This window comes from Homo sapiens, chromosome 2 (genome assembly GCF_000001405.40).
Source record: "Homo sapiens chromosome 2, GRCh38.p14 Primary Assembly".
Classification (NCBI taxonomy): domain Eukaryota; kingdom Metazoa; phylum Chordata; class Mammalia; order Primates; family Hominidae; genus Homo; species Homo sapiens.
Window position 1 is genome coordinate 54,858,879 of NC_000002.12, and position 18,721 is coordinate 54,877,599.

General features: G+C 39.1%; 1 protein-coding gene across 10 annotated transcripts in view; it reads left to right on the forward strand.

Moving 5' to 3' along the window:
- EML6 (EMAP like 6) overlaps positions 1–18,721 on the forward strand; it is a 248,474-nt gene that overhangs the window by 135,327 nt on the left and 94,426 nt on the right. For all 10 annotated transcript variants that reach the window (XR_001738743.2, XM_017004098.3, XM_047444299.1 and 7 more), the window contains 5 exons: positions 656–823; positions 4,905–5,011; positions 7,888–8,006; positions 10,303–10,489; positions 12,622–12,727. Coding sequence is in view for 9 of the 10 variants with exons in the window: in XM_017004098.3 (XP_016859587.1) it covers positions 656–823; positions 4,905–5,011; positions 7,888–8,006; positions 10,303–10,489; positions 12,622–12,727 (687 nt within the window). In the remaining variant the exon portion in view is untranslated. The remainder of the gene's footprint in view (positions 1–655; positions 824–4,904; positions 5,012–7,887; positions 8,007–10,302; positions 10,490–12,621; positions 12,728–18,721) is intronic.

Genomic DNA, 18,721 nt, shown 5'->3' on the forward strand with positions numbered 1-18,721 from the left:
CCTCCTGAAATCTACCATGGACTTTGGGGTTCTAGGCCTCCATGTAAGATGGACCCTGCTTATTACTCGAGTGCCTTGATGCCGCTGTGTACTGAGCATATGCTGATATGCTGAAGGCTTTACTACTGTAGTTCAACCACAAATATCACTTCAAGTAGCTTTTTCTATTGCACTCACTACCTGGGGTTAGTGTTCACTGAGTAAAGCAACCAGTTTAAGGAGGAAAAAATGATTCTCCAAACTCTATGTCTACGTGACTCCAAACAATAATTTTATTTCCATAGAATTATTTTCTGTTTCCCTGTTAAACAGGATTGCCTGTCTTATCTTTCATTTAAATAAGAATGTGTAAGATGTTCATTCTCTGTCATTTATTTTCAGAATCAGTGAAGCAGTAGGCATTATTTGGAACAGGTTCAGATGTGTCTTTAGCCACAGGGCTTAAATTTTACGACCTATTTTTAGCTTACTGCATATTGGAATAATTGAGATATATTTTGAAGCATTTGGTTATTTGTTACAATATGTAAGACGGAACATCGTTTTCAGATATATTTAAAGATTTTACTCTTCAACATGAACAGAAGGGGGGTTGTTTTAAACTAATGAACTCTTCTTTTTTCATAACTAATCCTCTCAAAAAATATTCTTTCAGGAGCCAAATTTAGAAAGTATGTGGGCCATTCTGCACATGTCACAAATGTCCGCTGGTCCCATGACTTTCAGTGGGTGTTGAGCACAGGAGGGGCTGATCACTCAGTTTTCCAGTGGAGGTTTATTCCAGAAGGTGTCAGCAACGGCATGCTGGAAACTGCACCCCAAGGTAAACCCAGCAATAATTTCTTAACATCATTTTATTTTTCAATAGGCATTTCAAAGAATGGTCTAACATGTATTCTATAGGTAAAGGATTTAAGCAATTTTGGAAAATTGATTCCTGTAATCTTAAAATTTTAAGATAAGAAGAAACTTTAAAGATTAACATGGGTCAGTTGGATAATTTTCTTCAAAGGAAGTTGCTATACCAAATGCAAGTTGAGCAGGACGTCAGCAACGTGACATCTGCAATGTCAGAATAGGAAGCTCCTGACACTCCCTCCACTCATGGACACCAAATACACATTGATTCGCAGGTCCATTCTCTCTGAGAGAAAGTCATACAAGTTGAGAAACTCCTACCCACCAGGCAACTGAGAAAACATCCACATTGGGTAGGTAGGAAAAGCTGAGGCACACTCTGGCAGGAACCCTACCCTGCGCACTGCTTCCTGAAATCAGGACAGGAATCCCCACCACCCAACCTCTCCCTGTGGAGAGAATGGTTTGGACCTCACACATAGTGCCCTAACTCTAGGTTACCCGTGGACTGGCTCTTAATTCACCAACTCTGGGAGTAGAGGGAGTTAGACATTTGGGAGTCTCTAGACCATGGGAAAGAAGCCTCGGTTTGATACAAGTGCTCAAGCCTTCCAGGGACTTCATCCCCTGGAGCAGTTCTGAGAAGGAGCTTAAAAAATGCAGCCCAGTTTCTACCTAGAAGGGGTTTATGACACATTTCCGGAGGCTACTTGGCGGCCTGGCTTCTAACCAATATGCAACAGGGATTTAGAGGGGCAGACACACATTAACCCAGCTGGCAGCCTAAGAAACAGACCTCTGAGCCTCCTCCCATGACTCATCCCATCAGTAACTCCAGATCTAATAATATACTCTGGAAGGAGTTTGTCCACACATTGAGCTCCCCAACTTTTATAGCTTCCACTCAAGGAAATGCATCCTAAACCTCCCACTTCGGGGAGCAGAGGGGGCAAAGTATATGAATGTCTGTCTAGACCATAGAGAAAGGTGGCAGTTTTATATGGACTTGTAGGCACTTGCAGCGGCTTCTTCTCTTAGGAGTGGTGACGAGAAGGTGCTATAAGAATGCAGCTCCTCATTTCTCCCCAGATGGGGTTTATGCCATGTGTTGAATGCCCAACTTTTACAGCTACCTCCCAGAGGACTCCATCCTAAACCTCTTTGCTCTGGGAGCAGAAGGGACTAGGAATATTCTAGTCTTCCTATATCACAGAACAGAGATGTGGTCTTAAATGGGTTTACAAACACTTACAGGAGTGACATCCCCTTGGAGCAGTGCAGAAAAAGGTTGGGAATGTGCAGCTCCCATTTTTTTTCTCCAGAAGGGGCTTACAGCATACACTTCCAATGCTACTTGATGGCCTGCCATCAAATGATTTCCATCAAGGAGCTAACAGGGCAAACATATAATAGCCTTCCAGCAGCCAGAGCTCAGCACTTCATGAGCCTTTGCTCTGGCTCGCCCCAGTGATAAATCTAAGCCTACCCATACTTACTGGAAAAAGTTTGGTCATACACCAAGTGCCACACCTTCTATAGCTCCCACCTGTCTCCTTAATGAACTAGCTCTGGAAATTGATGGGGCTTCGCATTCCTGAGTGGACTTAAACCACAGAAAATGAAGAGGTAGAGGTACAATGGGCCCACTTCAGGAGTTATCTCCCCAGGATCAGAGGGTACAGCCTAAATGTGAGTACAGGCATTTGTCACAGATTCTCTACCTGGCTTAGTGCAGAAAAAGTGAGCGGTAAATGACTGTGCTCAGCTTCACTGTGAAGATAGAAGGAATTGAAACACATAGTCCACCCTCCAACCCTTCTAGCTACATCAAAAGTGTCTTGATGTCTTCCCCCCTTTACAGTCTTGCGGTACCAACAGGACATGGCACATCTTAAGCTCTAGGGGCCACCAAAACAGACAATAGTCTGGACAAACACAGATTTGAGAGGCACCTTAAAACCATTGGCCAGTCAGATTGGTGAGATCCTTCTCCTATACAAGGCCAGTCTGACGAGATAGGGAGAGGTTTTTTGTTTTTTTTTTTTTTTTAATCTAATGCACAGAAACCAACACACAGTGTCAGTGACAATGAAGAAATGAAATTCCAGATAAACGAGCAAGACATCTCCAGAAAGCAACCCCAGTTAAGTAGAGATATGTGATTTACCCAACAGGGAATTCAAAATAATAGTCATAAAGACCCTCACTGAGGTCAAGAGAGCAATATAAGAACAAATTGAGAACTTTAGAGATAGAAGGTGTTTTTTAAAACTACTCAATGAGTTTTGGTACTTTTGAAATACTTTCTCTGAGGATTGGCTGAGCACGTTGACTCATGACTGTAATCCCAGCACTTTGGGAGGCTAAGGCGGGTGGATCACTTGAGGTTAGGAGTTTGAACACCAGCCTGGCCAACATGGTGAAACACCCTGTCTCTACTAAAAATACAAAAATTAGCCAGGCAAGGTGGAGCACATCTGTAATCCCAGCTACAGGGGAGGCTGAGGCAGGAGAATTGCTTGAACCGGGAGGTGAAGGTTGCAGTGAGCCACGATTGTGCCACCGCACTCCAGCCTGGGTGACATAACATGACTCCATCTCTAAAAAAAAAAAAAAAAAAAAAAAAAAACTTTCTCTGAAGAGTACTGCCACTGAACTGAAAAATTCAATAGAGAGGTTCAACAGCAGACTAGATTAAGCAGAAGAAAGGAACAGTGAACTTGGAAAGACAGATTACTGGGAACCATCCAATCTGAGAAACAAAAAGAAAAAGAGTAAAGATAGCTTAGAGACTTAGGGTGGTCCAACAACTTACGTGTTACCAACATGCCAAAAAGAGAAGAGAGAGAAATGGGCAGAAAACATGTTCAAGGAAATAATGGCAGAAAAATTCCCAAGCCTAGGAAAGAAAATAAAGCCAAATCTAGGAAGCGCAAAGGACACGAGTAAGATGAATCCAAAAAGATGTACCCCAAGAAACATCTTAAATGATCAAAAGTTAAAGGCAGAGCATTATAAGTAGTCAGGGAAAAGAGAATCATCACACATAAGGAAACCTCTATAAAACCATCAGCAGATTTCCCAAATGCAAGTTGAAGGTCTAAGGTTTACGTGAAGAATTAACCCTTGGGGGATAACAGGAGAGGATACATTTCAGCTTCCTTAGGACAATTGTAACAGGCAGTGGGTCTGTTCAGTCAGGCTGCAGGGGAACAGGGTAACCTTTGAAATGTAAGTGGCCTTCAGAATGGGGCTCAAGCAGTGGTTCACGGTTGGGGCCTATGTGTTCCAATTCAGTGGACATGTATGTAGTCTTTTCATTTATCTCTGATGTCAGCAGGCATGAGCAGGTGATAAAATGAAAAATTATTTGAATAAATGTTGACAAGAGTTCTGTGGTGGTTTGGGCCATGACAATTACCAACACTTGGGTGGGCATGGTTAAAAGGCTAAAGAGGATCTGTATTGAAGTAAATGGTTGGGTTTATTTTTGCCCTAGCCTTTCACTTTTTAAAACCTGCCCATTTTACAAAACAAAGCTTAAAACCCAGGTATCTGCTATCTAATAGAAATGTGTAAATGACCAACCTAGGCAATGTGGTGAAACCCTGTCCCTACAAATAAAATTTAAAAATTAACTGGGCATGGTGGTACGCATCTCTGTAGTCCCAGCTGCCAGGAGGCTGAGGTGGGAGGATTGCTTGAGCCCCGGAGGAGGAGGTTGTAGTGAGCTGAGATTGTGCCACTGCGTTCCAGCCTAGGAGACAGACCCTGTCTCAAAAAAAGTATAAATGAGTTTAGTCTGCCTGGTGGGTGGTGTGGGGAAGGAAGTTGGCCTAGTCTGTTAATGTTCCTGAAAGGAGTGAAGGGTGGGCTGAACTAAACCAAAAGGTGAAAGAAAGATGTTTTAACAATTTATATTAAATGAAAACTATGGTATAGTTTTTATTTACTTTGCTAGGATAAAAGGAAAAATATTTTAGATAATTTCAGTTGCTCAGAGTCTCAGAATTTTTGCTTGTTTCTTGTGGGTTGTATCTCTGCAGAAGGTGGAGCTGATTCCTACAGTGAAGAATCTGATTCAGATTTATCTGATGTGCCCGAACTGGACTCTGATATTGAGCAAGAAGCTCAAATCAATTATGATCGCCAGGTCGGTAAGCAGGGAGCAATGAAAATTTGTAACCCCAGAAGGGGATCTCATTCCTGGATTTGGACATAGCACTAAAAATGACTGGCACTTAGACAAAGAGAATTGAGGCAAAAACAAGAAAAATAGTCTACTTTGTGCCTTTAAGTGCAGGTTAAAACCGACGTGTTTACCCAATCATACCATTAAAATTTATTTCAGCAGAAAGTAATTGCAAAGTTTGAAAACTGAACCCCTGGTATTTGGGCTTTTTGCCTCCCTAGCACCTAAAACTTTAAAATATATTTTGAAGAAAAATGTGCAAGTAAGCCATAGGTCTTTTTTCACTTTCTTAGCAGATTATGAAAGCATGTGTTTCCTTTACAAGGATGGATACCCTTGAGGCATGGTGGTTTGCATGTGAGCTTGTTAGCCCGGTTTTTCTATTAACTTACTGCAACCATTATCCATTTAATCAAAGTAATTATCTACTTAAAGTAAAAGCTCAAATAAAATGTGTATTAATCTCTCCAGTCAGAAATTACCTCTAGTAGGAAAGCTGATCAGCTGACTTCAGTTTTTTTGGAAGTTGACATATCATTTTAGCACTAAACAGTGTTAAAGCAATCCCTCAGCGGAATCTGAACACATACCACCTTGTTACAGCAATAACCATGGGGGTTCTCTTTTTCTTTCTTGTCACTTAACAAAGATATGTGAAGCAGATTCTGTACATGAATGTGGAATGAATAAGACTTCAAATTTCAGATACATGAACTGTAAGTGTCGCCAATAGAGATTTAAGATATAGGCCTATGGCAGCTACCATGTGTTGAAAGAAGTAAAGTAACTTGCCCATGTCCACGTTGCTTGTCGTATTAGGATAACAATGCTTACCTAGGCTTATCTCCAAAGTGCACATTCTATGCACTACTTGGTTTGCCTCTATATAAGCATTAAATTGGAATATTTTTCAGCCCATAATCATCAGTCATTGATTCAGAGTTTGAAAAATTGTGTTCGTACCAAGACAGTTTAATGGTTTGGGTCAGCCCCATGACGAAATCATCTTGACTGTGCATTGACACATTGTATTATGCAATATGACTACTAAAAAGGACTTGAAAAGAGATTATTGTCTGTGGCCATACAACCCTGAACGTAGTCAATCTTGCCTGAAAGGAAATTATTAATGTGGAAATATTATGCAAACACTAAACAATATTATACTCTGGTATCAGGAGACAATAAAATTTAAACACAATACAGAATTTAGGAAAAGAAATCTTTAATTGGGAAGTGTTTGTTTAATAAAATGGTGCTAGTAGAAGAATGAAAAGGGACCAGGCACAGTGGCTCATTCCTGTAATACCGATGCTTTGGGAGGACAAAGTGGGAGCATCACTTGAGACCAGGAGCTTGAGACCAGCCTAGTTAACACAGTCTCTGTATCTACAAAAAAAAAAAAAAACTGCTGGGCATTTGCCTGTAGTCCCAGCTACTCAGGAAGCTGAGGTGGGAGGATTGCCTGAGCCCAGGAGATTGAGGGCTACAAGCCACTGTACTCCAGTCTGGGCAACAGAGCAAGACCCTGTCTCTAAGAAAAATAAATAAAAGAATGAAAAGGTAGACTTAAAATTCATGCCTACGACTTAAACAGTTTGAATATCCTTAATGTGAAAATCTGAATTCTCCAAAATCCAAAACTTCGTAAGTACTGGTTTGATGCTCAAAGGAAATGTGCATTGGAGCATTTTGTGTTTTGGTTTTGGATTTGGAATGCTCAACCAGTAAGTATAATGCAAATATTCCAAGATCTGAAAAAAATCTGAAATCCAAAACATTTCTGATCCCAAACATTTCAGATAAGGAATACTCAACCTGTATATTCTCCCTGACATGTCACTTTCCAATGCTTTCACCGATATTTGATTTACATTCACAATATTCCTGAGTTATTCCTTAACAGGGATTTTTTAACTCAATTTTACAGATGAGAATTTGAAGCCCACAGAGGTTATGAGACCCATTTAAACAATAGAAATATCAAGACTAGAATTCATTGCTCTAAAGTAAATAGTTGGTGAGCTGATGAAAGCATCATGAATTAAGTTGAATAATAATCTTTAGATTCTAGAAGCTTGGTTAATTGCATCTGTAGTAGACAAAACAGTAGTGAGAGTTCTTCTGACCTTTTACAAATGATTTTTGATCAAATCCTAAACAGGGGCCTTATATTTTATGATTTTTAAAAGAGTTTGATTAAATAAAAACTTGATGAAGATGAGAAATTATTACTAGATTGGATTTGATTCTCCACCTGTTAAATGGACATTTCTTGGTAGTAAAGTATAAATACACAGTAAACAACAGATGGGTTTTTATATGCGTTTAAATGGTACAATCAGCAGCACGTTTTAGGTCCCAAGTTAGACCAAGATTGATCTTTGCTCTGTATCTCAGATCTGTTAAGATGCATGAAGCTATGAAGTGAATGTGATTCCAAAGAGGGATTTCAGGAGAAAATTGTCATGACTCATGAGGTCCACATTTTTCAACTGTCAGAATCAGTAAGAGATTTCTGGCCTTAGAAGAAATAAAACAAACTATTTTATTTATATTTTACTGATACTTAATTTCCTTTAAAATTTACTGATATATTTTCTAGACATTAAGAAAACAGTAACAAATCAAGAAAGATTATTTTAAAATCCCAATTATTTAAAAAATAGTTCATATTAGTTTTATTCATTAGGAAAAAGTAATATTCATTCTCATGTCTTAAGTTTTCAAAGACATTTTATTGAAGCAATTAAAGATTTTACAAGAATGTCAAGATGCTGATATTTTTGGAACCTGATGAAAGGCATCTCACCCAGATGTTTCTGTTGTACTTTAAGGTTTACAAAGAAGATCTACCTCAGCTAAAGCAACAAAGTAAAGAGAAAAACCACGCAGTGCCCTTCCTCAAACGAGAAAAGGCTCCTGAGGACAGCTTGAAACTCCAGTTCATACACGGGTGGGTGGCCTGTCATGGGCGCCCGTATGTGTTCCTCTGTCTCTGCCTGGCTGTCACCAACCTTAGCACCAGGCTTAAGGGATCCCCTCCCCTCAGTGTCGTCCTCCTCCTGGCTAGCTCTTCTCTGCAATGTGCACTTGTACCTGTGGTTGCTATTTTAAGTGTGACTCTCTATCCACTTCCCTCGTTGATGTTCTGTGGCCATCACAGTGTGATTGTCTCTAGATTTCTCAGACTTCATATAATTCCATGACTTAAAGGGTGCTGCTGCTCATTGCTGCTGCACTTCTTTCTCATCACCATCTTCACTTCCTCTTTCTCCTTTCCCCTAATCCCCTGCTGTGTTTTGCTGGCTCCACCATAGGACAGTATTTTCTTCAAATATTTTCTGCACATGTGCCCAACATAATTTTGAATTTTGTAAAATTATATGCACCCTTGCATATTTTAAGTAGACAACTAAAACTTTTTAATGTCGGTTTAAATGGCTGAGAAGATACTATCTGTATTATGAATACATCAGTCCTTTAAATGGATGCAAAGGAACCTAAATGCCATAAATGTTTGATTCTCACTATGATCAACTTAAAAAATATGTGAGACCAGACACAGTGGCTCACACCTGTAATCCCAGCCCTTTGGGAGGCTGAGGCAGGTGGATTGCTTGAGCCCAGGAGTTCGAGACATGGTGAAATCTCATCTCTACAAAAAACTAGCCAGATGTGGTGGCGTGTACCTCTAGTCCCAGCTACCCAGGAGGGAAGTTGAGGTTGGGGAATCACCTGAGTTGGGGAGGTCTAGGCTGCAGTGAGCTGTGATCTTGCCAGTGCACTCCAGCCTGGTTAACAGTGAGGCCCTGTCCCAAAAGGGGAAAAAAAATACCTGAAGAAGTCCTTCTAAAACAGGAAGCTATTTTACATCATTCATATTTCTACCTAAGTTCACATTTCCATTCTAATTTTCCCATAAAATTTTACCCTAACATAATCTTTTTATGCTTGAGAGTCCTTTGTCACCATGTCATACCCTCTGCAAGAAAAAAAATTTTTCTGTGGTCCTAAGACTCTAACTCAGCCCAATACAATATCCACTAGCCACACACAGTCACTGAGCACTTAAAATACGGCTATTCTGAAAAAAGATGTTCTGCATGTGTAAAATGCACACCAATTTTGAAGACTTACTATGAAAAGAGGAATGTAAGATATCTCATAAGTTTTTATATTGATTACATGTTGATATAGTAATATCTTAGATGTGTTTTGGGTTTAAAATGTTACTGAAATAAATTTTTTTTTCTAATATGGCAACAAATTTTTAATTAGGAGGATCATGTTATTTTTCTGTTAGTGTTGCTCCATTAACAGTTTATTTGAATTATAGTTATTAGTAAAGTCGACTAAATCAACATGAATATATTACTAATTGTGACATATAATTATTAAGCACAGAAAAATTTTGTTGGAAATTATTTTAATATGATGGATTGGTTTTCAGTTGCAAGATCTGTGCATTTATATTACTTACTGTTAGAATGTAACAAAGTTTAATATTGAGTCTATTCTCAGTTCTCATTTTTGTATAGATGTAAGCAGTGAGAAAGTTTATTCTCTTAAATAATTAGGTAAGAATGGAGGCCATTTTATAGCAATGTTATTCAATTCTTCAGACTCCTGTGATAGGCCAAAAAAGTCATATTTGATTTTGATATATCACAAAAAATAATCTTTCAGCTGGTAATTCCATTAAGTCTCTGTACAATTTTGTTGAAAGCAAAGAATTGGAAATCACTTGATTTGCAGGATTCCTTAGCCAGTCATTAGAGTTGTTTTCTTTCAACATGCATACTTGTATTTTGAATTGTTCCTTTGTTTTGGTGCCCCTGGAAGGGTCTGTGTCCCGGAGTAATACAGTGTAATAGGATTCCAGATGGAGGAGAGGAATGGCTTTCTGCAGTGGGCGGAAGGCATTTATGAGAGGGGAGATGGGAAAGGAATACCTGTGCCTCATCACAGATGTGTTCTCAGATGATCGTTTTTAAGAAAAAGCGCACACAACAGCTGAGGATCTGCTAACAGATTCTGTTACAATGTTCAGTGCCCATGTGCCTTTTTGAGAGTCATCTCATGCCCTCAGACGGCCACATATCCTCATTTAAACATTGCTGTCCTATGTGACACCTGGGGTTCCACTTGTACATGTTCACGTCAATATGTTAGCCTTGCCTCTGACACCTCCTGCTCCATGCATTTGCTGTTTGTTCAACCACTATGCATTTCTTGGACCTGTGCTTCAGTTATAGAGGCTACGACTGTAGAAACAATCTGTTCTACACACAAGCTGGAGAAGTAGTCTACCACATTGCTGCAGTTGCTGTCGTGTATAATCGGCAGCAGCACTCCCAGAGGCTGTACCTGGGGCACGATGACGACATTCTCAGCCTGACCATCCATCCAGTGAAGGACTATGTGGCTACTGGGCAGGTATCTATCTCCTGTAAACTAGGGCCTAGCCAAAAAGAGAATTTAATTTTTGAATTCAGTTTACATATTAGAAATTCAAGAAATGCTTGGTAGAAATAAACATGAGATGGGAAGGTGAAGATTGAATGATCATTGGATCCTTCCAAGATCATGGGAGAATCAAGCAAAGCATTTTAGCATTATTGGGAGACCTCTGAGGAGTTCTTTTCCTGGAATGATGAGATCTATGAATGGGACCAGCTAAAACTAAAATGGTGAAAGTTTTGTCAAGGAGCAGCTTTATATACTTCCTCGCTGTATGCCCAGGATTTAGTATATCCTAGGTACTCAATAAATATTTATTGAATGAACCATTTAAAAATACTATAACATCTAGAGTATAATTATATTTGTAAGACTGAAAACCATAAGACTTTTGACTAATTTGTATTTTAGCCTTATAAAAACACCTTGAATTTTATCTGAACTTTTTTTTGAAATGCCTTAACCTTAGATTGAGTCTGTAATTGAAAAAGCTGCTAAAACAGGGACCCTCTACAATCATTTGGGAGTGTAAAGAGAAAAATAATCATTAACTTATTAAAGACTTTATTAAACACAGATGTATTACCTTGCTGGCAAAAGAGTAATATTGTCAAAAGTATTTTTAGTTTTATCTTTTCCTCAAATGTATAGATTATACTTTTGTTCAGTTTTTATAATGAGTGTTTAATTGCAGATAATACTTCAACTGGTATTAACTAAGTGGCAAATTCTAAGAAAACATTCTTGGTATAATGTCAAAGGTTAACATGAGACAAGCCCTTTTCCTGAGACTCGACCTGCAGGTGGTAAAGCCTTTGGACAGAGTTCATAACCTGGGGTTCATGAAATCTATGAATGAAAATGAGAACATGAGGGGAGTCAACCCCTTAAAAAGTTGTATTTGGGGGAAAAAGGATCCATAGCTTTTAAATTTTTTTTTAAAAGGGTTGCAGTCCTCCAAAGGGTAAGGGCTGACCATTGGTTTATACATGAATTTGCTGGCCCTCCAACTGAAAAGGTATATTTGGGGGAAAAAGGATCCACAGCTTTTAAATTGTTTTTTAAAAGGGTTACAGTCCTCCAAAGGGTAAGGGCTGACCGTTGGTTTATACATGAATTTGCTGTCCCTCCAACTGAAAATTAGAGACCTACTGTGTTAGCTGATGTTATAAGGTTTTACAAGTAATTGATCATTGCTTTGCTTTTTCACTTGCCCTTATTTTTTGTCTGTCTTATAAACAGATGGTGCTTGATTCACGTGTATTTAATAGCCTCTTTTTTTAAGTAAAAGCCAGAGGTGTTTTTTTTTTACATAAATCCCCAAGGAGTTACTGCACTCAATACTGTATTTGATGGAAGGTAAACCAGTGGCAAACAGTATTCCAGCAGCCACCTGCAGGAGACTGGGCCTCCACAGACCTCTGTAGGAGTGGCCTGGATTCTGCTCATTTATGCCTATGGCTTTATCTCCCATTTTTCCTTTTAAAGTCATCACACCCAACAGGTTTCCCCACCCCCCACTACATATTACAAGTGAGAAAAACCACTCTACTATTATAATTTTCTTTGTTGTTGGGGATTAGTGTGATAGAAGCTTGTATCCCTGCAAAGATAATCCACCTTACTGAAAGATAGTTATGCCATGAAAATGTTATTTCCCAGGGGGAGAAGCGGGGCCAGGCCTTCTTCTGGTGGGTAGCGTAACTGAGAATGGGTAAAATAACTCTGGATAGCGTCATGACAATGTACAAGTGACTTCCCTGACTGAGAAGCAGAATCTTGTGTCGAGCTGGGAAGGCAGGAGAGGGAATGGTAGAAGTAACTGACAAAAACAAGGCACAGTGGACATTTGAATTAGCCTTAAAGGCCCAGGCATCAGGTTAGGCTCTGTTGGAACTCTACCTGATTGCCAGGACAAGCCTCTTAGAGATACAGTGCCTCAGTTTCCTCATCTCAAAAATAACTGAATTGTAGCAGATGATTTCCTAGGGTCCTTCTATTCTCCAAATGGGTTTATCTTGGTTTCTGAGCAGTGTTGGACTCTAAGGAACAAAATCATTGTTAGTATAACGTGTTAGTAGTTAATAACAGTCATTCTGTTATTTAAGGTTGGAAGAGATGCTGCTATTCATGTGTGGGACACACAAACTCTAAAATGTTTGTCGCTGTTGAAAGGACAACATCAGAGAGGAGTGTGTGCACTTGATTTTTCAGGTAAGGTCCAGAGTGATTGACACATGGTTCTACGTTGAGAGAGAGAGAGACACAGAGAGAGTATGCCCCGCGCATGCGCGCACGCGTGTGTGTGTATTTAAACATGCTCCCACTTAGTCGTTCTGTTTGTATTGAAGTACAAGCTCTTTGTATGCCAGCTACCCGCTCTTATACTGAGAATCATACATAGGAATACCTCACCAAAAAATGTGGCCTTTAGATTACACACCGCTTCCCATCTTCCTCATTTTCTGTCTCCTAAGTCACTACCCAGAGCTCACACTGTGTTCTGTATTTGCTTGAGCAATTTGAAATCCAGAGCAGCTGTTGCTGTTGACTTAGTCGCAAATGTCTGGCAGTGACTCAGAACATCAATTTCATCTCTCCAAATAAGTGGGAGCACATCACTTCTGATTGAAAATACAAAGTACTAGAGAGAAGGCTGCAAATTATCTGCAGAGGGCCAGTTTACAACATTGGTATTTTGGAAATAACTTTTATATCGAAAAAATAGAACTGAAGTTTTCATCTCCTTAATTTAAAATTTGAACACAGTATCATAAAAAATAACTGATGAAAGTTAAGTTCCTTTAGAGTGAGTGTTCTTTAAGTTGGCATTTGAGAATGAGGGCCTATCACAAAAAGTATTTCTACCTAGAAATTTTTAATAATTGCAACTGTAGAAATTAGATCAATAGAAAAAGAATTCTAAACTTTGTACAGAATGCTGATTTTATAATTTTTTTCTAAATTTTATTCAAATGCTTAATAAGTATAACGTGTAATATTATTAAATTCCATGACTCCACAAGCCTGATTGTTCTCCCCTGTCCCTTCCTCTCCCCGTTCAAGCCCTCACTCTTTCATCTATGCTATGGTAGTCATGCTGGTCTCTAATTCTATCCCCTCTTCCTCAGTCCATCCCACCCTCTTCTGGAGTCTCCCAAAAGCATAGTTACCATTGCCACCACATGGATTCCCCTTGGTTGGCTGACTCATTGTGGAGCCCTTGGGACATCCATGGCCTTCCATGATCTGGCCTTAACCTTCCTTAGCAGCATTTTTAACCCACCAGCCCATTAGTGCTCCTTCACATCTGTCTAACTGTGGAGGCTACATGCACTCTTGCCCTTCTTTTGGCTGTGTTCTTTGCTCATGCTGTTCTCATGTGTCTTTTCAAGTCCTCCCGCCCTTTAAGGTCAAGCTGGAAGTTTTCTCTTCCAACTTTACAGGGAGAAATAACCTGTCCTTTTTTGTGCATCCCTTAGCCCTTTGTTGTCATTGCTCTTATGGCACCCATTGCTCTTGTGGCACTCCATGTGGCACACAGTTACTTGTGTCAGCGTCTCCCAGGCATTTCACACACAGTAAACTACTTGGCAGTAGAGCCCATCTGTCTGGTCCCCACTGCACATGTCATATTGCTGTGCAAATAGAAGCTACTAAAAAAAGTGAATGACTAAATGAACAAATGAGGTTCTGCTTAATGCACTTTGTCTTGCCTTTCCCTATTACTACTAGAATTTTACATTATAAACCACGTTTGGGTGAAAACTACCTTCATTGCCTGACCAATGCAACATGGGGCAGTTTTTAGTTTTTCTAACAGGCATGTTCTCACATACTGTAAATTACTCTACAAATCTGAGCTGCTGTATCATTATTAGAAGTTATTCAGTGCCTTCAGTGATTATCAAATTGGTAAAAATCAAGGTTAAACAGTTTATACTCTACACTGGTGACATGTGAGGTAGGAGAAGGCATAAGTGTCAAGGGAGAGAGAACTCCGCATACCACCTGCCAGCTGAATAACACAGTCAGTAATTCACTCAATAAACAGTGAATACAAAGTCCAAACTCCCGGAAGTGTGATGGACATGCAGTTTTAAAATAGGTGTGCTGTGTGTCACTGATAAAGCAGTGAAACCTAAAAGAAGCTGTAATTTTAGTTCAAATACGATTGTATTTCAAAGATGTGGATGAATTCCTTCTGCTTTTTGTTCTCCATAGTTCCACTCCTCAGTGGCCAAACTGCCTTTTTCCTAAAATTAATTTTGCTAGCAGACAAATATATGTATACTTAATATAAGTAATTAATATGCTTTAGAAGAGTGGTGAAATGCCCGTTAAAGTAGCAAAAATAAATAACAACAGCTAAATGTTTACAACATTATTGGGAATCCAATATATTCATTCTTTTGGCAGCACTGAAAATTGACTCAATTCTAGCAAACAATCTGGCAATGTATAACAAAGCTGTGATTCAAAATGACAAGTATGAAGATTGTATTTTATGCACATTTCAATGTATCAAGATAAAAGAAAAAATTGAACTCAAAATACCATCTATCACTGACTGCAAATGAGAATGTGCATATGTGTATTAGCATATAAATAAAGTGGCAAGAAATTTAGAGTAATATAAATAGAATTTAATCATTTGGTTATTTCCTCTATAGAGTTGATTAATTTTCTATTTTTTGAAATCGAAATAATTAGCTCGTGTTATTTTAAATACCTTTGGAAGAAGAGATTAGCAGATCAAAGACATTAACTATGAGATGAGTTGGTAGCAATAAGCTGGTACCCAGTAATGTGGCCTCTTCATTTCAGATAGCTAACATTTCTTCTGGGCTTATTAGTTTTATAGAAGAAAGAACAAGAAATTAAGTGAGCTTAGAAACCTTTTTCCCATAAGGCAGCCCTTCAGATCAGTGCCTGGGTAGAGAAATCAGATACTCTGGAGGAGGTGAGGAGCCCGATTCTGTAACTGCTTCTGATTCCCATCTTGGGCACATAAATTCCCAAATATGAAATGTTTTGTGCATAAGAAGGGTATTTCAGTATTTTAACAATACAGTCTCCATTCCCCAGATAACAATCACTGGGAAAGAGCCCATTTTTCAGCAAATGTGTTGTTTTTGCTTATGGAAATTCACCTTTTTGTCTTACAGGTTAAGTAGTATGTCAATATATAAATGGTAGAAAGGAATCTGATAGTTTTAGAAAGTACTAATACTAAGGACTATTGTGGAAAAACTTTGACTGATACGTGATTCATTACCATAAATGGTTACATACAGATGAATTGTAGTCATTGACTGGGGGTTGGGGTGAGGGTGTGGGGACCTGTGGTGACTCCTGAAAGTGTGAGCTGAGGCCTGTTTGGTTTAATTTCTATTGATAGTCTATGTTTTAATAATATAGTTTGAGTCTTAAATCCTTGCAACCACTTTATAGGCTGAGAATGGACATCCTGAAGTTTGGTGGGGTGGCCTGGGTAAAAGTGAACAGTGGCCGATCCAAAGGCAGAACCCAGGTCCATTGTGAGAGCCACCAGGCCTGGGTTTGTCAGCAGGCAGGAGGCATGCCAGGAGTTCTCCTAGGTGTCAGGCCTCCTCCAGCCGCTTCCCTTTGCCGATGCTAGTGTGTACACTTGGCAAGAGTGTCATACCTGGGACACTCAGTGTGCAGGCTCACTTTCTGCTACCTGTGCCCTCCAGTAAGCTTGTCCATCTGCCCTTCCCACCCTCCACTGTAACTGTGGAGTGGACATGGTAGTGCATAGAGGCCCCCATGTGGAACAGCCCCAAGTGAAGAGAGATCCCGTTCTAAAACAGCCCAGAAACACACACTTACCTGAAGTATGAACAAGGGCAACTAATGCTACCATCCTTTGGAAACTGATAGAAAAGTGAGTAGCTCAAGTAGAAATGTTGAAAGAGGAGACTACGTAGACCTCCTTGTTTAACGGTGTAAACAGGGCACTGACGTGACACTCAACAGTTACGATTTAGCTAGTGCTCCATCTGTGTGCCTCAGGACTCCTGTCGCTGCCCATCTCTTAGGAGTTAGCTCTTTTGGGGGGTTTTATGGACACCTACTGATAGCGTGCTTGTCTCTTACTAGAGAATAAATTGTCCTGGAAATATAAAGCAGGCAAACAATGTGAAAACTAGATAACAAATAAGCACAGTTATGTGTGAGGATTTAGATTGTTCTTGCCACTTTTCGAAAGCAAACAAAAGACATTTTTAGTCAAAAACATTTCTTGGGCAAAATCTGTAACTGGGCTACAAGGACAAGAAGGAATGAATTTATATTATCTCAGTTGAGAACCTCTTTTAACTCAGTATTTATTACTGTCTAGGGGAAGGGGAACCATTTTTGTTTTGTGCTTGCCGTGAGGAAAGTGCTTCCATATGAATAGAAAACCAGATTAGAAATAGAAAAGGTCAACCACAGAAGTATTTTCTAGCCTAAATATCAACCATATAATTTTTTTAAAAGCTTCGTAGAATAATACTGATTTCCATAAGGGCACATCTAAGACTTGATTTCATTGTGTTCAGTAGAAAACCTACGCATTTTTTATGAGTCCTGAATAGAGAGACCAACTCATAATTGTCTGAATAAAACTTTGTCTAATTCACCCTTTACTACTGACATTAAATGCCTTCATATTATTTCTGGACTATGTCACAGACATCCATAATTAATGCATGCTGTGACTGCAAAGATGGGAAAGGACATTACCTAAGAGACTAAAAACATGGCTAAAAATAAAAAACTTCAACTAACTGGTCAGAGAGTAGATTTCCAAAGCTAAGACCACGGCTTACAGGGAAAGTGAGAACTGGGAAAGAGTAAAAAGGTAGCCAATTTTATTTCCAAACTGTGTAGTATATACACAGAAATAGCCCACACCCGCAGAACTCGGGGAAGTCACCATCCCAAAAAAGAGGTATGGCTGTTGAGGCACCTCTGGGTTTGCACTGCTGCTTCCATTGCTACCCACAATCAGAATACCTTTTTTTGGTTTAGAAAGGTGGTATAACAGTGAGGATAAGCTGACAGGGCCTTGCAGAAATTCTCCTAAAATAAAAGCTCACCTCTTACCCCGGCAAAATCAGCTTATCCTTAGGCCTTCTTCAGATGACATAAAACTTTATTATTTTAAATGTATTTGTGCTTGCATTCCAAGAAGAACATAACTACACAGATTTCAAAAGAAAACATGAAATATAGTCAATGAATGCAACAAGACATTGAATATTTGTACAGTGTTTTTGAAATGGACAATTTCTTTAAAAATCTGTTTATAATTAACACATAATTGCAAATGTTTACAGGGTAGAATGTGACATTTCAGTACATGTATATATTGTGTAAGGATCAAATCAGAGTAGCTATCACATCCATCACCTCAAACATTTATCATTTCTTTGTGGTGATAACATTCAAGATCTTCTTTTCTAGCTATTTTGAAATATACACTACATTATTAGCTATAGTCACCTTAATATGTAATATAACACCAGAACTTACTCTTCCTAACTGTAGCTTTGTACTCACTCTTGACTCATCATCCAAAAAAAAATTTTTTTTTTTTTTTGAGACAAGGTCTCACTGTGTCACCCAGGCTGGAGTGCAGTGGCATGATCATGGCTCACTGCAGCCTGGACCTCCTGAGCTCAATCGATCCTCCCAACTCAGCCTCCCAAGTATCTGGGACTACAGATGCACACTACCATGCTTAGCTAATTTTTTTGTATTTTTGTAGAGAGTGGGTTTCCTCATGTTGCCCAGGCTGATCACCAACTCCTGGGCTCAAGGGATTCACCTGCCTCAGCCTCCCAAAGTGTTGGGATTACAGATGTGGGCCACTGCACCTGGCCAAAATCTTTATAGCTATATAACGTAGTACATTCTATTTCAATTTATACCATCCACAGGCATATTCTGTCTTTATCTTCTTCCTCATCATCAGTGTCACCAGTATCATCAACATTCATTGAAAACTTGATTAGTGTGATACTTACAAAGGAAATGTGATAAGATTATTAAAAGTCTTAAAAAAAAGCTTATGATATTAAAAAAGGAGAGAGAAAACACCAATAAAAATAAAATCAAGTGCAGAGGCATGCCAACATAGAAACAACCAGACCATATCAAGAGATGTGGAAAAAGTAATGTTGGTAATGAATAGGAAGT